This window comes from Homo sapiens, chromosome 10 (genome assembly GCF_000001405.40).
Source record: "Homo sapiens chromosome 10, GRCh38.p14 Primary Assembly".
NCBI lineage: Eukaryota > Metazoa > Chordata > Mammalia > Primates > Hominidae > Homo > Homo sapiens.
The window spans coordinates 27,979,304-28,004,278 of record NC_000010.11 but is presented as its reverse complement, the minus strand read 5'-3'; the positions used below and the strand labels follow the sequence as shown (position 1 = coordinate 28,004,278).

General features: G+C 40.2%; 1 protein-coding gene and 1 long non-coding RNA gene across 28 annotated transcripts in view, besides 1 other annotated feature; one reads left to right on the top strand and one right to left on the bottom strand.

Moving 5' to 3' along the window:
• ODAD2 (outer dynein arm docking complex subunit 2) overlaps positions 4,604–24,975 on the top strand; it is a 187,508-nt gene continuing 167,136 nt past the window's right edge. For 7 of the 27 annotated variants that reach the window (XM_047425409.1, XM_047425407.1, NM_001290020.2 and 4 more), the window contains exons 1-7: positions 5,382–5,476; positions 9,099–9,360; positions 16,736–16,893; positions 19,068–19,260; positions 19,989–20,095; positions 20,300–20,436; positions 22,697–22,813. In XM_047425409.1, coding sequence (XP_047281365.1) covers positions 9,137–9,360; positions 16,736–16,893; positions 19,068–19,260; positions 19,989–20,095; positions 20,300–20,436; positions 22,697–22,813 — 936 coding nt within the window. In that variant the 5' untranslated portion in view covers positions 5,382–5,476; positions 9,099–9,136. Of the gene's footprint in view, positions 4,795–5,199; positions 5,286–5,381; positions 5,477–5,578; positions 6,789–8,555; positions 8,631–8,667; positions 9,361–16,735; positions 16,894–19,067; positions 19,261–19,988; positions 20,096–20,299; positions 20,437–21,268; positions 21,351–22,407; positions 22,451–22,696; positions 22,814–24,975 lie in introns of those variants that run through there. The other 20 variants (XM_047425410.1, XM_047425408.1, XM_047425405.1 and 17 more) reach the window with 12 other exon arrangements.
• Positions 8,596–9,795: an enhancer, noted in NCBI's record as "CDK7 strongly-dependent group 2 enhancer chr10:28283413-28284612 (GRCh37/hg19 assembly coordinates)". NCBI's record gives its function as "activates an origin of replication core promoter dependent on BRD2, BRD4, P300/CBP, MED14 and CDK7 cofactors, with strong dependence on CDK7, by STARR-seq in HCT116 cells {active_cell/tissue: HCT116}" and the evidence as "EXISTENCE:reporter gene assay evidence [ECO:0000049][PMID:35650434]".
• On the bottom strand, positions 9,128–21,083 carry LOC112268060 (uncharacterized). Its single transcript, XR_002957065.1, has 3 exons — positions 20,998–21,083; positions 9,887–9,970; positions 9,128–9,211 (listed from the first exon to the last, which is right to left on the bottom strand). It is a non-coding gene; the product is annotated as an uncharacterized LOC112268060 (long non-coding RNA).

Here is a 24,975-nt window from a genome sequence, read left to right as displayed (position 1 = left end):
CAGCAAAAGTGCTAGTGAAACATGCAGGGAATCTGGAATGGGCAGAAAAGGAGGGCAGAAATGGATACGTTTTGGCTTGGAGACCAACTGCAGAGCCAGGGCTTGCAATTTTGTCTCATCTTTCACTTGTAAATTTCCCCAGGGAAAGCTGACCACCAGGATTCCGGAAGAGCTGCTCCCAGATACCGCTCTCAGAGCTGTATTGCATGATGCTAGTGATCTCAGCTGTGCAAGGGGTGGACAGTAGGGGATGCAGTGGACTGTCAAGATATCTGAACCCATCCCACCTCTCCAAGACCAAAGCACTCCTGCCCTCAGCTGCTGGGGATTATGGGCAGATGATAGCCCTCAAATGAAAGAGTAAGGTTATGCCCTATTCCTGGGGACAGCCTGCACCCAGGGACTGGCTGATAATGATCAGTTGATGAGAAGATCTAAAGGTCCAGCCCCTTTGCCTCAATATGGGAAAACTGCTGGGCCATCCCAGCTTCAGGGCTCTCTGTGGGATGGTTGTGGCTGCATGGCAGTTCAGCTTCTCTCTCGGTCTAATCTCCTTGCCTTCACTCTCCTGAGGGCACTTCTCAATACATTTCTTACATGCCCTTCTCTATCTCAGAGTCTATTTCTCAGGGGAACCTGAGGCCAGGTGTCTTATTAATAGTCTCTTTCTTTCTACTCATGCATTTCTCTAGTTTACTTCCACTGTGTAATCAGAACAGCTTCTTAACAAGAGAAATCGGAGCATGTCACTCCCTGCTAAAAATCTTCCAGTAACTTTCATTTATTCTTGGAAGAATATTTCAATTGTTATCATGGCTTAAATGTTCCACCTCATGCAGTCCTTCCCACCGATTCAGTCTCTTCTCCTTTCTCTCCTTTGCTACTGTGCTTCATGCCAGTGGCTCTCCTTCTAGTCCAGGAATTCTGAGTTGAGTTTAGTAGGCTCCTTTTTTGGCTAGGACTTGAATTGGATAATCGAGTTCTGCCAATGGAGTGCCTGGCACAAAATGGCATCCAAAAAGCATTTATTGAGTAAATGAATGTCTAGGAGATTAGAATCTAAGGAGAAGGAGCCATTTCATTTCCAGGCCGTGGGCCTTGGTCCACAATGCATCACTGAGAAATATCAGAGGGCAAAGGGAGGCAGCTGAGGCTGCACTTCTCTGACTTTTTGTCTTTATCTATGAGAGAGGGTAGAATCTGGTGAATTTGGTTTTTAGGACTTCGTAAGACTTCATGCAATTTTCTCTCATGGGAATTTCTGTTGAAAACTCCTAAAAAATTCCACAGAGAGGCAATTCCGCCCTATAATGAGACTTACCCCCATTACGACAAAATATAAATGACTGTAATTCCCTGCAAACCTCAGGAGGTTTATTTCATCTGTCTTAGTCCTTTCCTGATTGAGGTACTGGATGCTTAAACCAACCTTGCCTCTTACTTTCTCCCTGGTTATGGCCTATAAATTCTTAGTCGGCTTCACTCTGACACAGATGAATGGGCGCTGGAAGCCTGCTGATCACATCTTTACATAATGCTATGTGTGACATTGTGTCCCCCTAAAATCGTATGCTGAAGTCCTAACCTCTAGTGTCTCAGAGTGCAACCGTACTGAACATAGGGTTTCTATAGAAGTAATCAAGTTAAAATGAGTTCATGAGGGTGAGTCCTGATCCAATATGACTGGTGTTCATAAAAAAAAGAGGAAATAAGCCAAGAGGAGTGTCTCACACCTATAATCCCAGCACTCTGGGAGGCTGAGGCAGGCAGATCACTTGAACCCAGGAGTTCAAGACCAGCCTGGGGAACATGGCGAGACCCCATCTCTACAAAAAAAAAAAAAAAAAGCCCACAAAAATTAGCTGAGTATGGTGGTGCATGCCTGTAGTCTCAACTACTTGGGAGGATGAGGCAGGAGGATCACTTGAGTCTGGGAGGTCGAGGCTACAGTGAGCCGTGATTGCACTATTGCACTCTAGCCTAGGTCCTGTCTCAAATTCAGAAATTTGTGTACAGAGACAAGCACACAGGGATAACATCATATGAATGTGAAAACAACCATCTACAAGCTGAGGAGAAAAGCCTGGAATCGATTCATTCCCCATAGCTCTCAGAAGGGATCAATCCTGCCAACACCTTGATCTTGGACTTCTAGCCTCCAGCACTGTGAGATAAGACATTTCTGGTATTTAAGCCGCCCCAGTCTGTGATACCTTGTTACAAAAGCCCTAGCAAATTAATGTGTGCAATCTGTGTCTGAACTCTCTGATACATGAGAGGAACAGATTTGCCCAAGCCAGGGTGGATGGTTTCATAAGAATCCCTGTAGATCGGCAGTCCCCAACATTTTTGGCACCAGGGACCAGTGTCATGGCCAACAATTTTTCCATGGATAGGGTGTGGGGGAGGGGATGGTTTCAGGATGATTCAAGCTCATTACATTTCTCGTGCACTGTATCTCTACTATTATTACATTGTAATATATAATGAAATAGTTATACAGCTCACCATAACGTGGAATCCGTGGGAGCCCTGAGCTTGTTTTCCTGCAACTAGACGGTCTCATCTGGGGGGGATGAGTGACAGGGACAGATCATCAGGCATTAGATTCCCATTAGGAGCTTGTAACCTAGATCCTTCGAATGCACAGTTCACAATAGGGTTCATGCTTCTATGAGAACCTAATGCCACTGCTGATCTGACAGAAGGTGTGGCGTGTGGGTGGGGTCCCTGCTGTAGATGACGTAATGTTGCGGAGGTGGACCAAAAACTATCAAGTTTTTCCCAGGAGCCTGTGGCAGATTTTCTCTAAAGTTTCAGTGGACAGCGCTGCACCATGTGCTTGCACTCTAGCCATGGGCAGGGCTGGTAAAGGCCTCTGGTACAGCAAACCCCGGGTGTGCCCTCAGTGATGAAGGCTCTTTCCAAGATCACGGCTACTTAGAATCCTCAGGCTGGTTCTATTAACCCTAAGAAAATGTGGGCCTTGCCTTTCTGGTGCTTGGTGAAGAGTGTCAGGAAGCAAGGCATCTTTGACTAGGCGATTCATGAATTTAGCTCCTTCTACGTGCCAGTCATCCTTCTAGATCTTAGGAGTACAGACTTGAAGGAGGCAGAAAAGCTCCCTATTTTCATAAAGCTTACCTTGTAGGGGTAGCAGATGGGCAACAAGGCAAAGACAAGTTATGGCCAGGCACAGTGGTTCATGGCTGTAATCCCAGTGCTTTCGGAGGCCATGGCTGGAGGATCACTTGAGCCCAGGAATCAGAGGCTGCAGTGAGCTATGCTTATGATTATGTCACTGCACTCTGCACTCCAGCCTGGGTGACAGAATGAGACCTCGTCTCAAAAAAAAAAAAAAGAAAAAAAAAAAACAAGTCATGATAAATCCTTCAGGGAGTGACTGGGCCCAGGTAGTGTTTCATCACGACAAGGAAAAATTGGAAAGAGGCGACTGGGACTTCTTCAGATTTAAATATTATTAAGTTATTTTTGCTTGGAAAATATCCGGTAAAATAAATTCACATTTTGGCATCAGATTAAGCAACTTGGCATGAATTTGGCAAACAACGACATAGTTGCTCAGATCTTGGTGGGTTCTGGCTTTTTCCAGCTTTGCAAACCAAGGTGAAATGTCCTGAACTTGGAAGATCTCTGGCTGGCATCCACATTGGACCCAGTAATGCTCCCTTATGTCATACAGCTGATTAAAATGTGCAGAGGAACTAAAGTACCCACAGAAGCTTCCTTGCTTCCAGGACTGGGACTACTCCAGGATCCTTCCGAAGGATGCCCTCTGCTCCTCACCAGGTTGTGACCTGCATTACCGCCACAGGTGTGATGCTGTTGTCTCAGACTGTAATCCACCCATTTTTAAAAGGGCTTCTCTGTATACCTATTAGCATAAGCCCCTTTCTCACTGGTTGCAAGTCTAAGCTTCTCTGCAGGTAGTATCTCCTTTAGGTGAAACTATTCCATTCCTAACAACTTTCGCACTTTCAAAAAGAGAAGAAAAGAACCCAAAACAGGCCAGGCATGGTGGCTCATGCCTGTAATCCTAGCACTTTGGGAGGCCGAGGTGGGTGGATCACTTGAGGTCAGGAGTTCAAGACCCACCTGGCCAACATGGTGAAACTTCGTCTCTACTAAAAGTACAAAAATTAGCCGGGCATGGCGGCGCATTCTTGTAATCCCAGCTACTCAGGAAGCTGAGGGGGGAGGATCTCTTGAACCCGGGAGGCAGAGGTTGCGGTGAGCCGAGATGGGAGGCAGAGGTTGCGGTGAGCCGAGATCGTGCCACTGCACTCCAGCCTGGGTGATAGAGCCAGACTTCGTCCCCCACCCTCCAAAAAACCCAAAACAAAGGACAAATATCTATACCTCATATCCCTACGTGTTTGCAGAAAGGTTCTGCTTTGAGCTGAATCCGTATAATATTATGACAGGTGATATCCTAACATCATTCCACATTTGCCTCTTTGGCATCCGGAAAAGAATCCAGTTTTAATTCCTAAACACCCCATCATCCTAAGTGCTCCGGCATTGGTCCTTAAACACCGTGTCCCCCCACCCCAAGATAGTGCATTCTTCCCCATCCCCCCCCACCTCAATATTCCCACTCCTTTATCCCTCACTGGTGTTCCAGTTGGGGCTCTTGCTGGTAGGGTGTCTAGAGGTGGGGTCAAAACCATCTTAATGGACAAAGGTAAAGGCCATTTAAAAAAAGAGATGGGGGACATGTTTTCATTTCACTCCGATCCTCTGCCCTATTGAAGAGCGCTTTCTGCTTTCCCGGTGAGTATCAGAGTATTCTACCATATTTGTTTTTTTGGAGAGAAACATGTAAGCCTCAAATATCCTAGGAGAAGCCCTATGCTATTTGGGGGTACTCAGTGAAGATTTCAGGTACATACAACGCACTTGTCTGGAAGCCTATGGAAAAATGTAAAAAGGGGTTTCTAAGGAATATTTTCTGCTTCCTTTCTGCTCCATTTTAAGTTTTCTGCTAACTTGCCGCCGACCCCGCAACTGCTCACGACCTCTGTCAAAGTCAACCTTTCCCACCGCGTGGAGTGAGTTAGGGTGCACACTCGGGAGTTGCATAAAAGTGTTTGAGAAAGGGAGATGCAAAGTTGAATAAAAGTGTTTCCCGGGAGGGGCCGAGCGGAAAGCAGCAGGTGGCCGGGGCGGGTGGAACCCAGCGCGGGCGCAGAGCGTCTCTGGCGCGGGCATACGGTGCAACGGGTCCGCGGGAATCTTGGATGCGCGGAGGTCCCGAGACCAGGGTAACGGACTGGGCTGCGGTCGCGGCCGGGTGAGGCTGGGAGCGGAAGGCGGCGGCGGCGGCGCCCGGGGGAGGGCACGGGCCCTGTAGGCCTCCCACAAGGGCGCCGGCGTGCGCGGCCGCAGGGCGCGCAGTGTTGACCCGCGTCCTAGCAACAGGCGGGCGCCGACTGCGGGGGGCAGGGTGCTGCAGGTGAGTGCGGCTGGGGGTCTCCACGCTCACCCCCGCAGGGGTTCTGCAGCCGCCCGCGTGGATCGGGAAACAGAGGCGGCTCTCTGGCCCCGCCGCTGCCGCTCTCGCCTGCTCCCCTTTCCCTCCCGGGGACCAAGACCCGCCCCCTTCCCTTCTCTCTCCCAGCCCCATCTCACTCCTTCCTCCCCGCGAGACCCTGCCTCGGCCCTAGGTTGGGGACCGTCTGCTCCTCAGTCCCTGCGCCCCTCTCTGCACTACCTCGGCCCCATCACCTCCCGGATCCGCTCTCCACTTCTCCCGCCGCTTCCCTGCCTCTCCTTCCCCCAGCCCGTCTTTCTCCTCCGCCCTTTGCAGCTCTGCCTCCCGCTCCCAGCGTGGTTTTCGCCGTCCCTTCCCTCCTCGTCCCCTTACCGAATCCATTCCTGGAAACTTAGGGTCTCAGCTCTGACGCCCCCTTCTTGTAACGAGTCTGGTGGGGGCCGTCATCCCACACTAGGCTTAGCTTTGGTTTTACTTAGGGCCCTGTTCATGTCATGTCTAAAAGTTCGATTTTCTGTCGGTCTTACTGAGTAACTTCTGCATTCTCAGAAAGCAGTGTATGCGCGGACTCCCCGTGGATGTTACCAACCACATTTCATAGATCTCAGAGCTGATGGCTGCCTTTCCGTAGCCCCCTAAAGAATTCGGTTGTGCTTCTGTTTAAGTGTTAACGATGTGATTACCGAATGGGTTTCATTTCACTAATGATGCTGGAAGCTTGAAATTGACCTTTAGAAAGAAAAACAATCTGTGGTATCTATTGGATAAAGAGAAAAATGAGTGCTAAGTGATTCCCAGTTTATGTAAACATCCCAGTTTATGTAAACACGTAACCAAAACTTTTTTCCTTTTAATCTTTAAACTTACTTTCTTTACTTCAAAGGTGTGTGCTGTGTATTTACATGGATTCATTTTAACTATGGTTCTTAAGCCAAAAGAGCTTGGCAATGGGCAGAAACCGGGGAGCAACTGGTCTTGATTTTAAAATCTTAGTTTTGAGTTATGCCGACCATTTTTGAACACCATTTATTTATTTATTTATTTTCTAATAACATTGATCTTGCCTTCTGGATTGTCATAGGCCACCCTGAGGTTTTCTTAAACTCACCAACCTTCTTGAATAAAACTTGTGCATTGCTACGGTTCACTAGACTTGGAAATACAATTTGAATAGATTCAAATGTTACATTTCTGTCAAAATTTATCTTGACGAAAATAACGATTTTGCATTTCTTAATTCTGTGTTAAGGGTCCTTCAAGAAGTTACTATATGGTATGTTGACTACCATAGCGTTACATAATCTATTTAATTTCGCATTTTTTCTTTAAAAATGTGCAAGAAGCAATCTTTATAAGATTACCAAAACAAATGTTATACTTAAGATTAAAGACAGACAGAACTTTCACCTAAGCCTTTCTGTATAAGATAAAGCTATTTGCACTTATTTCACACTATTTTACACTGATTTGCACTTATTTTACACAACAATGGGAAATTCAAGAGTCTCACACATACACATCAGAACATGTTTATGTGTTTAAATCTAAAGCATTTCTCATCGGTTAGCAATAGAAACAAAATGCTAGAATACTAAAACAAACACCCAGAACAAATTTGTGCACTAATTTCTGCACTTTATTTCATGACCACTTTGGTATATATGTCTGGATCAGTTGTTCTCCACCCTATCTGATCCAGTACTTGGTTTTTATAGCATATATGTTGTAAGGCTGCTTTGCTATCCTGAAATCAATATCATAGATTATAATCTTACATATTTAATATAGTTTTAAATATTGATAGTGTGCTAACTGTAAAATGAAAGAAAATAATTGTAAGAAAAGATTGGCATGTAAACGCTCAAGTACCACTACACTAGAATATATAGGGAAGTAGTCAGATGTCCAGCCTTACACAGAATGACTGTGAACACAGCAGCCCCAAATGCAGACTGATACAGATGTGCCATTGCAACTTAAATTTCTCAAATAACATTGCCATCAATGGTGTCATTTTCCAAAATGCTGAGCTCTTGGTAAAATTCCATGTAAAACAAAATATGTACAACCTTCTTTTCGTTTATGGTAGCTACAATTCTGGAAAATTCAGGGTGTAATAAAACTGTGACAAAATACTCTGCAATTTTTGCAAAGTGCAGAAAAATTCTAGGCTCAGGTAGTGCTTATCTGAAGTTTTTCACTTACTAGATGCCTGGAGGTTACAGCAGAATTCTTCCTTCTGAGGTACTATCCTGCACAGGATATTTTACATTGTCGGTCCTCAACACTAAAGGCCGATAATGCCCCCTTTCCTATCATGTTGATAACTAGACATCTCTATAATATTTCTATACTCTTTATCAGCAGGAAGTACTGCCCTGTTGCCATCCAGTGATCTCCTGTGATTGAATTTAATAGATAGTTCAAAGATTTAATACAGTACAGAATGTAAAATCTCCAAGTCTAATCTTTGTACTTTAAGCCTTTTTAATAATGATGGGAGTAAAAAGCCAATTTTATTCTATATTTAACCGTATAACCATTCTTCTAATATTCTGGAAGAAAGATTTTATCAATAAGTGCTATACAAAAGAGAAAAGAAACAAGTATAGATTATCTGCCAAAAAAGCATTAAATGTTCATTATGAAGTCAGAACGTGCTTTCTAACTTGGCTCTTATTTAACGTTACAGATTTTGTTACTTTTTAAAAGATCTTCTTTTACAGACTAATTTCTATTTAGCCAATGTGAAATTTGTCTCACTTGAATTGGTTTTAAATTTTACTGCTAGACTCTTCTGATAACTAATTTAGATAAAAAGGCTGAAAGAGTCTCACTTATTCCTACATCTCTCACATTAACTCTTAAGAAGGTTGTGAATTACAGTAAAATGTCATCTGGGCAGGATATACAGGCAGGGAAAATAGTATTTGGATTGTCCAGATATTCTGGTAATAGGATCAATGTGTCCTGTATCAATTTTTAGAAAAAAAATTATATTTCACAATACTGTTCTTATTCTATTTCTTTTTTAACTCAGAATGCACTTGGGGAAACCAGAGCTACCAGAATCATGTTCTTCAGTCATCATTGTGATGATGCAGATATTGTCACTGTAAGAAAGTCGGGATAACAGTATTCAGTTTAATAGTGTAATTCTAAACAATGTGTGTCCTGGCTGAAAGGAATGTTTGTCCCTGAAACTGCTGGCTCCCAACAGAGCTGTGAACAAAAGCCCTTAATATAAACCTCTTCCACTTCCTTTTTTTTCCACTCTTGGAGTTTTCTATTTGGGTTTTATGCCTATCTGTTTGAATCCTCTCTCTTAGGCCCTAGGGAAATTAGAAAGAAGTTATTAATTTCAGGGCAAATACCGGAAATTTCTTAAATACTAGTCAGTTTTATCTAGTGCTGGTTTACTACTTCATTGAACTGAAGAGCAATTAGATAATGTTAAAAGAATCTTCCAAGATTAATAAGCAGAATGTGGGATGGGGAGTACTAGTTTAAAGTCTTGAGAATGAAAAATGTTCCAAGGAAAAGGTGGACGCTGTTGTCTCTTTCTCTTTCTGCTCTGATGTAGTGCGTGTGCTAAGCTCAGGTCTGAGCACGGTGGATCCCATGGGTGTGGCTCTGAGGAAATTGACGCAGTGGACTGCTGCCGGACATGGAACTGGAATCCTCGAAATCACCCCTCTAAATGAAGCGATATTGAAAGAAATTATTGTGTTTGTGGAGAGTTTTATCTATAAACATCCTCAAGAGGCAAAATTTGTTTTTGTGGAACCACTTGAATGGAACACAAGTTTGGCGCCCTCAGCATTTGAATCAGGTTATGTTGTCAGGTAAGCCAGTTACTTGCTTCTAGGATTTGATATCTTCGTTGTACATAGTATTATCAATTGGTTCTAGGTTTGGGGGCAAGTCACCTAACCTCTCTGAACCTCAGAAGCCCTCTAAACCAGGGAATGAAAACCAGAGACACACAGGTGAAGTCTGAGGATATTCAGCTTGGCCAACACAGTATCTTTCTAAGTTTTAAATTTTTCAAATTAAACAAAATTTTAATTTTTGTGGGTAAATTTCTTTTAACAGGGCATCCGTTATCCAGGTCACTACACTGCCAACATCCATTGCTGCTTTATGCCTGGCCTTTCCACCCATATGTGGAGATATATATACACATATATATACTTTTTACAGATGAGGTCTCACTATGTTGCCCAGGGTGGTCTCAAATTCCTGGCCTCAAGTGATCCTCCTGCCTCAGCCTTCTACAATGCTAGGGTTACAGGCATGAGCCACCACACCAGGTCATCCATATTCTTCTGAATTTTATTTCTATAAATGTATGGGGTACTTCCGTATTACCTGCCAGATGCCAGGAGCCATTGGTTTCGTGACCTCTGATGTAGATGAAATCTCTTCTGGTATTTAAATTGATCAATTCCTGGGCTAGAAGCAGGAGGCGGCGGGGAGGGGTGATGAATGATGAATTTTGATTTTGCCCAATATAAGGGAGAGAATTCTTAAGAATTACTGGTGTCCTCAGATTAGAGCCTTTCAAATCTGAGATGAAAAAAAATTTACTTCTGTCTCAAACAGTGAACTCTCAATCTATCTCATTCAAACATGGCTAAAATATATATATACACACACATACGCATAAATTATGTGAACAAATTAAATATAATTGTATAAGAATGTATTAGTTCATTAAGCATTATAATTATACAATAAGTAAGCTAACAAATACACACACACACACACACACACACACACACACACATATATATATATATATTTGCCAGCCTCAGTTTATTTTGCACCTTAGGCATTCTATTTTCTACCACCTTGTTCTTCTTTGTTCTGGATATGAACTTTTAAAGTCTGATCATATAAAAACAGTTCCCTAGCTAGCCAAAGCTTCCTGTAGATGCCTTTTCCCTTTTCTCCCTTTGGGATTATTTGTGAGAATAAAGTCAGAATTTCATTTTTAGAACTGCAGCAAAACCATTCTTAAACTGTATTTCAAAAGCTCTTTAATTCTTCTATTGGTCAGCCTTCTCTCTGAGTTGTTTGAAGTCATATTTATTTATTTATTTTTTTTTCTGGAGACAGAGTCTCGCTCTTTTGCCCAGGCTGGAGTGCAGTGGTGTAATCTTGGTTCACTGCAAGTTCCACCTCTCTGGTTCAAGCAATTCTCCTGCCTCAGCCTCCTAAGTAGCTCGGAATATAGGCATCCGCCACCACGCCTGGCTAATTTTTTGTATTTTAGTAGAGACGGGGTTTCCCCATGTTGCCCAGGCTGGTCTTGAACTCCTGAGCTCAGGCAACCCGCCTGCCTCAGCCTCCCAAAGTGTTAGAATTACAGGTGTGAACCACCACGCCCGGCCTGAAATCTTATTTTTCTAATGGTGCATTTTATTTCTAACTGTGCCAGTGGTAACTTTCTCCAGAAGTTGTCATTTCTGTATTGTTCAGCTTTTTTCCTAAGCTTTGAAATATGATCTCCTACGTAAAACAAATTAAAAACATATTAACTACTTGGCTGATCATGGTGGCTCACACCTGTAATCCCAACGTTTTGAAAGGCCGAGGTGGGCAGATCACCAGAGATCAGGAGTTCAAGACCAGCCTGGCCAACATGGTGAAATCCTGTCTCTACTGAAAATACAGAAATTAGCCGGGCATGGTGGCACGTTCTGTAATCTCAGCTACTAGGGAGGCTGAGGCAGGAGAATTGCTTGAATCTGGGAGGTGGAGGTTGCAGTGAGCCGAGATTGCACCACAGAACTCCAGCCTGGGTGACAGAGAAACTCCATCTCAAAAAAAATTAATATTTTTTTATAAAAATGCATTTAAAGCAGATGACAGAAAAGAATATCATGATTGTTTTGCCTTTGTACAAATTTTGTGCTCCAAGCACAAACGTGATCACATCTGACCCCTAGTTAGGTGGGCTGTGACACACACCTCTCAAATCTATCACTATTTCCCCCTATTCTTGTCCAGATTCTTTTTGCCTTATTTCCATTCTTATATCTCAGCACACAGTTATTTATGTATTTATTTAAGACAGGGTCTGGCTCTGTTGCCCAGGCTGGACTGCAGTGGAGTGATCATAGCTCACTGCAGCTCAAACTCCTGGGCTCCATGGATCCTCCCACCTCAGCCCCTCAAGCAGCTAGGACTATAGGCACATACTACTATGCCTGGTCAATTTTTCTATTTTTTTGTAGAGACAGGATCTCACCATGTTGCTCTGACTGGTCTTGTACTTTTGGCCTCAAGAGATCCTTCTACCTTGGCCCCCTGAATTGCTGGTATTTCAGACCTGAGCTGCTGTGCCCAGCTCTGCATGCAGTCTTTATGCACAGTGTTCCCTCCTGAGAAGGGCATTTTGACATTTTGAAACAATTACCCCTTGATTTTTATACTTCTGTCATATTTACTATACAACTTTTCCTTGGGCTAATTTCTCAATCCATTCTTTTTGTGTCTGACCGTTATTGATATCTTTGATGTTGGAAGGGTAGAGAGAGGTATTGCTGTTGTATTTGAAGGAAACCATGCTTGCCTGGCGCTGATGAAAACCAAGAGTGCCTTGAAGAAGGCAAAGTGTACAGCTGAGATTTTGGTCATAATGGAAAGTACCAGATGCTTTAACATCCAGGTCTTGACCGTGCCCCTTGGTCTACTCCCCAAACCAAAGAAAGTTCAGTAACCCATAGCCACTCAGTGTTTGCTATGAGAACAAGTGATGTCAACCAGAGATATTCTCAATTACCCAAAGAATTTATTATCAAAACAGTCCCCATGACCTCATTCATTGCCCTTTGGACCAAGCACACTCTTCTGGCTTCTCTGCTGTTAGTACACTATTATACATTTATTGAAAGTGGGGAAGCTACTTTCCTTCCAGACAGGACTCAGGTCTGGGCATCCATGTGTAAGGCCAAGATTATCCTGGAGGATTTGAGCTTGGAGTCTCTGGATGTGTTTCTACCAAATAGGAATGTCCTTGGATACTTTAAAGTAAAGGAGGATGCCTCTCCTTGTGGGTAGACCTCTCAGGCCTCTTGTTCCAAAACAAGTTAAGTTTTATCTACGCTGAAATTCTGCCGAAGTAGATAAGCTACCCCTTTTTTGTTGGTCTCTGTGGACATTGATGGCAATATATTTATATTTGTGGCTTTAGTTCTCATTTGATGTTGCACATTCCAAATGCACTGTGGGCAACAGTCAATAGAAGTTTGATCATCCTTTTTCTGATTAGGCTAATGAGAATCTGATACTGAAACTGATACTTTAGTCACACACTGGAAAGGTTTTATGTTTCATCAACTGCCTTCTGTCCTTTTGTGCAGATCGTTATTAATTGAATAGATGGGCATAGCCCTGTTCATGTTACGTGATGGTCTTTTCCTTAGAATGATTCCCAGTGTTTTCATCATGTTATAACATTTGTCATCATCTTTCCACGTTTAATTTTGGGGTGGGGGCTGGGGGTCAAATAGCTCTACTTTCATTTCATGGAAATCATAGGTCTCTTTGTATTATCATTTGCAATTGCTTTTGTTCTTATCAGACAGGATGAAATTAATAGTCTTCCTAAAACACCTCAGAATGAAACTTAAATTTGCTGTAAACTAAGAACAAATGACACCACTCAATGGCAATACCATCTGTGGTACATAGAACCAAGGCACTTTGATTCTTTCTAATGTAGCTTGGGAAATTTATAAATTGGATAAGCGCTCAGAATCACATGGTGAAAATGTTATTACCTGATTTTTTTTCCTTCTCTGGTAGAACTACAGTATGATTTTGAATCAAATGTGCTATAATATTGCCATATTTTATTTTTAAATCTCACTCCACTGCATCTCAGTGATATATATGCATCGAGATAAAAATATATTCTGGTAGGAGTTGGGACAGGAAGTCAGGTCACCAGAGCAATGGCTGTCTTCCCCTCAAGAATGCACAATTCACACACAATTTATACCTTTCTGGACCTTAGCTTTGTGATCGATATCATGAAAGGCTGAATTTACATGATCTCTAAGGTTACACTCAACCTATAAAATAATATTGTTTTATGAGACAATAATTATTGCATTTTGGTAAAATTTCTAAGTCACAGTAGTAGGGTCAGTGGCCATAAGTTTTGTTACTGAGCTATTTATTTTTTGTCCCTGAGGACTGCTAGTTTCTTAGCTATAGCCTTATTTTCTATGTTACTATTTAGACATACATTTATTAAGTAGTAAGACACTAAATGGGGCCGGGTGCAGTGGCCCATGCCAGTAATCCCAGCACTTTGGAAGGTGGAGATGGAAGGATCACTCGAACCCAGGAGTTCAAGGCCAGCATGGGCAACATAGCAAGACCCTGTCTCTAAAAAATAAATAATAAATAAATAAACAGACCAACGAATAAATAAGCAGCCAGGTGTGGTGGCGTGCGGCTGTAGTCCCATCTGCTTGGGAAGCTGAGGGAGAAGAATCCCTTGAGCCCAGGAGTTCGAGGCTGCAGAGAGCTATGATTGTGCCACTGCACTCCAGCCTGGGTGACAGAGCAAGATCTTGTCTCTTAAAAAAAAAAGGACACTAAACTCGATACTGAGGATTAAAGAAAAAAGACACTTTTCTGCTTTCTTGCTTTAGAGTATAAACAGAATTTTTAGCTCCCTTCCACGATTCTGGTTTAAAAGTTTCTCCATCAGGTCACTGGAGTTTTTGATAGCTCATTCTTCCTGATCTTCCCAAGGTGAGTGCAGCATTTTTCTTTCCAAGAGCTCATTCTTCAGGTGTTAGAAACTGTGAGCCTGAAAACTGAAACTTCCTCTTCAAAATCTTGTCCATAGCTGGCGTTTTTTATTTTTCAAATCTATTTTTATTTTATTTTTTGAGAGGGGGTCTCACTCTGTCACTCAGGTTGGAGTGCAGTGGTGTGATGTTGGCTCACTGCATCCTCCCGCCTCCCGGGCTCAAGTGATCCTCCCACCTCAGCCTCCCAAGTAGCTGGGACCAAAGCACGTGCCACCATGCCTGGTTAAGGTAGCTGGCATTTTATTTCTGACTTCTCTGTTAAGTTACAGGCTTCAACTGGTAGGAGCAATGAAAAATGTCACCTGTGCCCTTTGGCTTCTCACCAGGAGTTTCACTCTCTCTAGTTAAGTAGCTTGGTATCTTTGGTATTTGGTCAGCCTGTTACTTAGTCCTCTCACCATCCACTTCGTGTGGTGGCCAGCCCTTGATGTGAGTAACCTTTAGGTAACAGGCCTTTAAAAAATCTCTTAAGTCCTAAGGGCATTATTCCAGAAGCTTAATTTTAGAGAAAATATACATTTTGTGAACAATGCATGTCATTGGCAAGTCTAGAAATATTTTATTCATTCATTTATTCCCCAGATGTTTACTAAATGTCTTCTATGTGCAGTTCCTATCTGAAGTGCTGGTGATAGGGGCAGTCCCTATCTGCACCCAGCAGAATCGGACTCATAAAGTCCCTCTGTGAGCCCTCTTTTGCTGCTGTAACACATTGCCCCAAACCTAATGGCTTAACACACACAAATGTATTATCTTACAGTTCTAGAGGTCAGAAGTCTAAAATGAACCTGCAGGGCTAAAATCAAGGTATCGGCAGGGTTGCATTCCTTCCGGAGGCTTAAGGAGAATTTATTCTTTGCTTTTCCAGCTTCTAGAGGCCCCTATGTTCCTTGACTCATGACTCATGGCTCATGGCTCCACATCACTCTGACCGCTGCTTCCATCAGCATATCCCTGTCGCTGCCTCTGTCCCTCCTGTCTTCCTCTTATAAGAACCCTGGTGATTATGTTTGGCTTCCTCCAAATACCCAGAATAGTCTCCCCATCTCAGGATCCTTGACTTAATTTCTATGCAAAGTCCCTTTTGCCATGTAAGGTGACATGTTCATAGGTTTTGGGGATTCAGATGTGAACATTATTCTGTTTCCCCTAGTTCCTATCCTCTTATTTTTATTCTAGTGAGATCGTCAGTAATAAGTAATCTCGGTTGGTCAGATTTACTTTTTCTGATGAACTAGCAACATTTTACATCTATGTATCTACATTGCAATTCAAAATATGTTAGATCAGGCCAGGTGTGGTAGCTCACGCCTGTAATCCCAGTACTTTGGGAGGTCGAGGTGTGTGGATCCCTTGAGCTCAGGAATTCAAGACCAGCCTGGCCAACATAGTGTAACCCCGTTGTCTACTAAAAATACAAAAATTAGCGAGGCATGGTGGCATGTGCCTCTAGTCCCAGCTACTTGGGGGCTGAGGTGGGAGGATTGCTTGAGCTCCGGAGGCAGAGGTTGCAGTGACCCGAGATCACGCCACTGCACTCCAATCCCGGTGACAGAGGGATACTCTGTCTCAAAAAAAAAAAAAAAAAAGCTAGATCAGGTGTTAAGGTGTCAGGAGTTTCATCAGATATAGCCTCCTGTAATACAAAACCTAGACAGTTTAGTTAATGTTGTAAGTGGTAGAAATCTATAGAAATATCACTTCCATGAAAACATCTTAATATTTTTTAAAGGCCAACCTGAAAAAAATCATTAAAATGGATGGAAACACAAAGCTAGGAGACTCAATAACTTTTGATCAGGAAGAATCCATTTAGAAAAACTGCCTATTATCCCAAGGCAAACCAAATAAAGAAGTTTAGAGTGGGAAAGGAATTCAGAGAGGATCTAGTTTGCCTTCAGTTTGCTTTTTTTTTCATAGTTTTTTTGTTCATAAACACAGTGTAGCCAAGAAAACCCCTAACCACTAATTACTGTGGTGTAAAAATTTTATAAATAAAATAACATTAGAACTCCCCAAAGCATGAAGGGTTTTGCAGAACCAATGATTTTTAAAAAGATGCCAGAAATCAACACATTTTAGAAAACAAAAACAAAAACTGTGACTATTTGAGTTCAATTGTGAATTCAAGAAATTGCTAAAAAAAAAAAAAATTCTTCCTTGGTTATATCCTATTGGTCACTAGGCTTGCTGGTAAGTTTGAGGATTTAAGAGTTTGAGTGTGGAAGAAAGTGGGAAAACAGATGAGCTACTAACCAGATGTATTTATATTTTCTGTATTTTATAATGAGATATAGGAATAATCTGTCTAAATGTCTTAAATTTAACTTCTACTGACCTCTAGGTAGCATGAAGCTTTCAATTTTTTATTTTTATTTTTTAGTGAAACAACAGTCAAATCAGAAGAAGTTGATAAAAATGGACAGCCTTTGCTATTTCTCTCTGTACCACAAATTAAAATTAGGAGCTTTGGGCAGCTGTCACGCTTGTTACTTATTGCCAAAACTGGGAAGTTGAAGGAAGCCCAAGCATGTGTTGAAGGTGATCTTAATGCTCCAGTCTGTGATTTGAACTTTTAGAAACAATCTTGCTGGGAAAGTGGGGAAAGGGTGGGAGGATCATTTGTTAGAGTCTCTTGAAAAAGATTCTACAATCTACAAGGTAAAAAGTCAAATGTACAACTTCATGAAAATGTTATTAATTTTCCTTGGCTGCAATATTATGCTCCTATCAAATTTCTGCTTTAAAATGAAAAGCCTGCTACCTTACCACTGGTAAGTTTCTAGGTTTCTGATTTTAGCATGTGGTTTGAAAGAGAACCTTCTCAGCTTCTGGAAAGCACAGGGGGCTGTAGCCTGTTAGGTCAGTGTCAATAGAGAAGACAGATGACAAGGGCTGGCCTCTGAATCCACTCTCTCTCGGCATACTGCCAAGGAATAGATTGAATGACAATCTATTTCCTTTAAAATGAATGTAGGCTCTTTCTTTAGCAGAGACAGCCTTTAATAGTCTCCCTTTCCACTTTTCTCAGCCATATTCCACTGTGGACTTCACAGCCTTCTGTGAATAGTTACAGTCATTCAACTTTGTGGCAAATATTTTTCTTCTTCTTAAAAATATGTGATGTTCACACTATCATCTAATCATCTAACATGCAAAAAATGAATGTGGTTGCCTGCTATAATTGTGTGGTAAATGTTTCTTATGAGTAGAAGTACCTAATCATAGGTGATAATGTATGCGTCCTGCTTTATTGGAATTATGTGACCAATGGGTTTCTGGCACAAGGTATTTGAATTCTGCCTATTTCTGTGTGAGATGGGAAGATGGTCTTTTTTTTACTTTTATTTTTTAGATGCTAACCTCAGGATGGCAACCTCTTTTTATGCCTTGCCTATTACTCCTTATTAGGCGAGGGTATCAAGTCTTGAAGAGTAAAGCTGAATTCAAGGAGGTAGTTAATAGATGAAGGATTATTCATTCAATTCAACTCAATTGGTAGACATAATATGTAGATTTCTATATAGCTGAATACTTATCCATTTGCTAAATACTTATCCTTTGCTACATTTTGCCATTTCTGCAAGAATTTTGGTATAACCCTTAGTTTCAGGTCCAAGTTGCATGGTACATGGCAATTTGGTAGTCAGGTTTATGCCATTCCTCAGAATCTGCCTGCTCTTTTTGTAAATCTCTGTGTGATGACAGTCATAAGGTTGTTAAGTTGAGATGCTCAATAAATGGTTGATTCCTTTGTCTCCTTTTCGCTGCTCTCCTCTCCCCCAGTGAAGTCCTTTTCTCAGCCTTAAGGCCTTGGCATATCCCATGACCACATGGGAATGTTAATGCCTTCACTATACTTTTCTTCATTTCCTTTAAGTTAAGCTTTCTGAATTAGTCTCATAGGCCTTCCTCTCCACCCCCATCTCAATGCATACATATTTTCATCTTTCTCAAATTTCTCCATTCTAAACAAGGGTTTTCCACTTTCTCCTTCATTTTCAACCATATTGGTTTTTGACATTAACCAAATTCTGTTTTCAACATCTCTAGGTTCAACTTTCACATCTGTATCAGCCTTGATAATGAATTGGTATTTGTTTTTCACTATAATTTTAATATATATATAATTAAATTATGTATATATTATGTATATGGCTAGATGTGCTTTCCAACTCTAAGATCATATGGCATTGCAAATATTAAGCTGTTTGAATACTTGCAAAAGAGTGCTACTGGGTCTGTAGGCTTAGGAAAGCATGCTATTTTGGAAAGAAAGCCTTTATAAATACCCAGCACTGCTACACACACATACACACATGCACATATAGTTCTAGTGATGATTCTTCTAAGAAGATCACTATTTCTCCATCTTCAAATAAATTCTGAATGTATTAATTGAATGTGCATTCTGAACAATGCCCCACGGCCAATTAAAAAAGAAAGAATGAATGACTGTCTTGGTCTTTGTGCTATTAGGGAGATATATAGATGATGTTACAATACAAACTAGAGCATCTCGTGAAGTAGAAGAAAGTTCCTAAAAGCAATGGAATCTCAGACGTAGAGATGAATTCTAATTGGGTCGTTTAGAAAAAGCTTAATGAAAGAAACACGTCTGAATGGACTTTGAAGGATTTATTAGTCTTAATGTTTGTTGTACTAGAAGACAAGTGGATAATTTTTATTTGTCTCCTTTTTTTTTTTTTTGGCAGCTAACAGAGACCCCATAGTAAAAATCCTGGGCTCTGATTATAATACAATGAAAGAAAACTCAATTGCATTAAATATTCTTGGCAAAATTACCAGAGATGATGATCCTGAAAGTGAAATTAAGATGAAGATTGCTATGCTGCTTAAGCAATTGGATCTGCACCTCCTCAATCATTCTCTAAAACATATTTCATTGTGAGTCTTTTTCAAAAAGGAACCTCTATTGTATTGAGCCAAGATTGCACCACTGAACTCCAGCCTGGGTGACAGAGCAAGACTCTGTCTCAAAATAGATAGTTAAATAAATAATAAAATATTACAATTAAAATTAAAAAATTAAAAAGGAACCTTTAAAAATTAGTTACAAAGTTGCTTTCAGAGTTTTAGAAAAAAAGACACAAGAAAAGTAAAGTATGGAAGTTATTGCTATGGATTTAACTTTACATTTTATTGGAACAAACAATTTTCCTGGGATTCATTTATTCCAGTTCTAAAAATTAAAAATTGCAGGTGACATCACGAAAACATTCTGGTGGGGTTTCATGCAATTCTGAAGACATTAGGTGGTCTTGTTATTTTCAAATGCTCTCAAGACTATTACACAAATTATTAAATTATAATGCAGATATCATGTAGAGTTTGTATAGTCCAAAGCATGTTCATTTTCTAATATTTTTAGTGTTAGAATATTATCAGCATGAAATAAAGTGAATATTTAATGGAGTACGTTTAATGTTGCATTAAACATAAATCACTAATTACTTGATGTGTTGACAGTGCTGTTATAAAATTATAGCACGGCTAAAATTAACTGCAATTTTAATTACAAAAAAGATATTTCTCCTGATACAATGAAATGTGTTCATGTGTTTCCTAGATTCTGTTTAAAGTATTTAAGCTGACATTTTAAACATTTATTTCAGAGAAATAAGTTTAAGTCCCATGACGGTGAAGAAGGATATAGAACTGCTCAAACGTTTCTCAGGAAAAGGAAACCAAACAGTCTTGGAATCTATTGAATATACCTCAGGTTTGATGTTTTCTCAGGCTCATTTTATGTTATTTACATTTTCATAATTACATTTGCAAAATGCTTTCAATGTCTACATTACAAGAGAAGGTTTAAGAAGGGGAAAGCTTAAAATTTCCACAATATTTATTTTGTGGAAGCCAACACTTTTTACCAAACTCTAGGTTAAGGAACTCCTGTTAATTGCTTGATGATTGGTTTCAGATTATGAATTTTCAAATGGATGTCGAGCCCCACCGTGGAGACAAATTCGTGGGGAAATTTGTTATGTGCTGGTGAAACCTCACGATGGTGAGACTCTGTGCATTACTTGCAGTGCAGGAGGAGTATTTTTAAATGGTGTAAGTAAATTTTTAAAAACGTAACTAAAGCCAGTGGACTTTGATTGTTAGCTGTAGATGTCTCAAGGGTGTGTCCCAATGACCACAGAGAATGAATTACCATTCTGTGGGATAGAAGCAGATTCCTTTGATATATGCTTGCTGGGCAAATCCAAAATAGCTTCAGAATTAGCTCTCTTATTCTCCACTGCAGGTCATTAAGCCAATCTGATAAGAAATGGGCTTCAAAGTGACCCATTCCACTTTATAAATGTCTTTAACGTAATCACTTCACTGATTCATTACACAGCTTCCAAATGATAGAAAGGTCAAAAAAGAAACATTGAGATAATACAGATGTCATAACTGCAGCTTGCATCCTAAGAGTTGGAGGGACAAAGGGAAAGAGAGGGGCTTATCTAAATGTAGAAGGTAGGAGACAGTGCCCTATGAAGCTGGGACCCAGACCTCTTGGGAGGGTCCACTTCCAGGCTGTGCTGGTCCCCACAGAGTTCAGACCATCTCCATGAGGCAGGGCTCCAGATCTCTGAAGAGTGGGCACTGCCCAGTTAATGCTCATACCTCGGGAAGAGGATCCTTGTAGAGATGGCAGAGCTGGGACCTGGACCTTTGAAAATGGAGCACTGGATGACTGATAGTGATATTTCCCAGGGGGTGAGGTGAGCCTGTTTCTGGGACCGTGAAAAATCAACAAACCTGGAAACTGGAACCAACTGTTGCTACTGGAAGCAACTGCCACTGTGTGGAAAGAAGGGCCGTTGCTGGGGTGACTCTAACAGGGACAGTGGGCCAGCAGGAAGCAGCAGGTCCCTCCTCCCTCTGCCAGCCTTTCAGTCTTCCTTTAGCTGATTCTAATGACGGAGCCTAATAACCTAGCCTGGTGAAAGGAGAAATACGACATTGCAGATTCCTGCGTGAGTAGCACAAAGTAGAGGCTGGGTGGCTGGGCTTTGAGCTGAGTGATAAACAGCACACAGTGTTCTGGATTAAAACACTTTCAGTCTCATCCCTATTCACAGAACCAGCTAGAAGGAGCTTAGCTTTCACCTCTGCAACATCCTGCCCTCAGTATCTTCAACATAAATTTGGAACTCAGAAACAAAATTCTACAAGGAGGATCCAAGTCCTTAATGGGGACCCAGCCATCACGGGGGACTGCCTGGAGGGTTGTTACATGTTGGCTTGGGTTGGTACCAAAATGCTGGAGCCTCTTTTCTGATTACCTATAGTTATCTTTCTGACATGCCTTTTGGTGCTTTTCTTATTAGCATGACACTGAGCTCATTTCTACAAAGAGGCAGTAGACAAATAAGATTTTGCTTTGGTTTATGATATTTTAGAAAAACGAAATCTCTAATTAGGAATAAAGGGACAAAAGAAGGAATGATTTTCTTTGACCTTCTGGAGGGGGGCAGGGAGTCTTTATTTCTATCAAAGGTTATTATTGATCTACATACATATAACTTATTTAGCATGGAGATATCTAAGTATCCCTTTAAGTTTTAAAAAAATGAAAGACAAGGACCATAAAACTACTCAATAATTACAACAAAGTTTAAAACACACTGGTCATACGTATAGAAATGTTTTTGTGTATACAGTTATATATAACAAACTGCAGTTATATGTATTTATATACATATAGTTATGTGATGTGTGTATACATTATATATATATATTCTGTTATGGAAGAACAATAGAGGTAGGGAAGAAAAGGAAAATGAGGAAAGGAAAGAGACAAGAAGAGAGAGAGAGACACATGGGTGTGTGGACAGATCGTTACACAGAGATCTAGAAAATAAGCCTATAGCAACCATGCCACAGACAGAAGAACAGAGTGTGACAAACAGAAATGTAGGCTTTTCCACGGTTAAATTCTAACCTTGAAGACTTTTATGACATCATCAACTAAGGCTCGTGAGGTCATAATGCATTTTCAGAGTAGAGGAGAGCGGAGAGAAGGAAGCTCTCACTTCTCTGCTGAACAGCAGAGTGCCTTACATGCATATAGGAGGTACTCAGTAAAGCCTTGCTGAATGAATGAACAATTGAATGAAGGAAGGAATGAGTGAATGAATGGAAAAATAGATAACATTAAATTAAGGGGGAAGGATTTTGCCTATACATTTCCTGTATTAAAACTACCATATAGATCCTTCGGAGATGAAAATAATACGTGTGGCTAGCTTGTGATGTATTGATCAGCTTCTTACAATTGTTCTTATGTTAATCATAGAATGAAACTTGTTTTTTCCCAAAGGGCAAAACAGATGATGAAGGGGACGTTAATTATGAGAGAAAAGGTTCAATTTATAAAAACCTTGTCACATTTTTAAGAGAAAAATCACCAAAATTTTCAGAAAATATGTCTAAATTGGTAAGTTTTATGGTTTCTTTTGAGCTTTCATAGCATTATGTTACTAAACTACAACTTTCTATGGTACAAGAAAAACAGTAATTTTGCCTATTTTTGGGCACTTTTTATTATTAGTGGTTTTTTTTTACAACATAACATAACATAAAAATACTGTAAATGTAGTATCATTGTTCAGGGTTCAATGGCATTAATTACATTCACAATGTTGTACAAATATCACTATTGTCAATTTCCAAGTCTTTTTCGTCTCTCGAACTTGAACTCTACACCCATTAAGCAATAATTCCCCATTCCTTCTTCCCTGACTTCCTGGTTAACTCTGATCTGCTATTTCTATCAGTTTGCTTATTTTAGATATTTCATGTCACTGGAATGATATAATATTTGTCCTTTTGTGTCTGGGTTCTTTCACTTAGCATAGTGTTTTCAAGGCTCATCCATGCTATAGCATGTATCAGAATTTCATTCTTTTATGGTAGAATAATATTTTGTTTATGTATAGACCACATTTGGTTTATGCATTCATCCCTTGATGGACACTTGGGTTGTTGCCACCTTTTGGGTATTGTGAATAATGCTGCTATGAATATTGGTGTACAGGTATCTGTTGAGTTCCTATTTTCAATTCTTTTGGGTCTTTTCCTAAAAGTGGAATTTCTGGGTCATATGGTAATTCTGTATTTAACTTTTGGAGGAACTGCCAACCTGTTTTCCACGGGGGCCACACCATTTTCATTCTCACCAGCATTATCCAAAGATTCCACTTTCTTCACATCCTTGTTAATGCTTCTTATTTTCTAGGTTGTTGTTTAATTATAAACATCGTAGTCAGTGTGAAGTGGTATCCCATTGGGGCTTTGATTTGCATTTCCATAATGATTAGTAATGTCGACCATATTTTCATATATTTGTTGGTTATCTGTATATCTTTTTTGAAGAAATGTCTGCTTGAGTCCTTAGCTTATATTTTAAATTGAATCTTTTTGTTGTTGTAGTTTTTGTATATACCCAATATTAACCCCTTATCAGATAGAAGGTTTGCAAATTTTTTCTCTTGTTCTGCAGGTTGCCTTATAACTTTCTTGATAGTGTCCTTTGATGCAGAAACATTTTTAATTTTGACGAAGCCTAATTTACCTATTTTTTCTTATTTTCTTACCTATTTTTTACCTATGCTTTTGATATCATATTTAAGAAACCATTGCCAAATCCAAGGTCATGAAAAATTTAGCACTGTGTTTTTCCTCTAAGGATTGTATAGTTTTAGCTCTTAACTTTAGGCCCTTGATCTCTTTTGAGTTGATTTTTGTCCATTAGGCTCCAATTTCATTCTTTTGCATGTGGATATTCAGTTTTCCCAGCACAATTTGTTGAAGAGATTGTCCTTTCTCTTTTGGATGGTCTCAGCATTCTTGTTGAAAATCAATTGATCATAGATGGAAGAGTTTACTTGGGGACTTTTAATTCTATTCCATTGGTCTATATCTTTCTTTTAGTTATAATAGTTTTGACATAAGGAAGTGTGAGTCCTCCAACTTTGTTTTTGTTTTTTAGTACTGTTTTGGCTATTCGGTATTCCTTGACACTGTTTATGAATTTTAGGCTTGGTTTTACATTTCTGCAAAAAATGCCATTGGGTTTTGATAGAGATTTCATTGAATTTATGAATTGCTTTACATAGTATTGCCATCTTAACCATATTAAGTTCTCCAGTTTATGAACAGGAGATAGCTTTCCATTTATTTGTATATTTAATGGCTTTCAGCAATGTTTAGAAGTTTTCAGTGTACAAGTTTTTCTCCTTCATTATATTTACTCATTAACATTTTATTATTTTTGATGCTACTGTAAATGAAATTGTTTTCTAAATTTTATTTTCAATTATTCACTGCTAGTGTATAGAAATACAGCTTTTGAGTGATCAAATCAGATCTAATTTTTGAGTGTTAAAATCAAGATTGAATTTCGCAACTTCACTGAATTCATTTAACTCTGTGTGTGTGTGTGTGTGTGTGTGTGTATGGGTGTGTGTGTGTATTCTTAGGTTTTTCTGCATACAAGATCATGCCATCTGCATACAAATAGTTTTACTTCTTCCTTTCCAATTTAGACTCTTTTGCAATTTCTTTTTCTTGACTAATTACTGTGGCTAGGACTTCCTG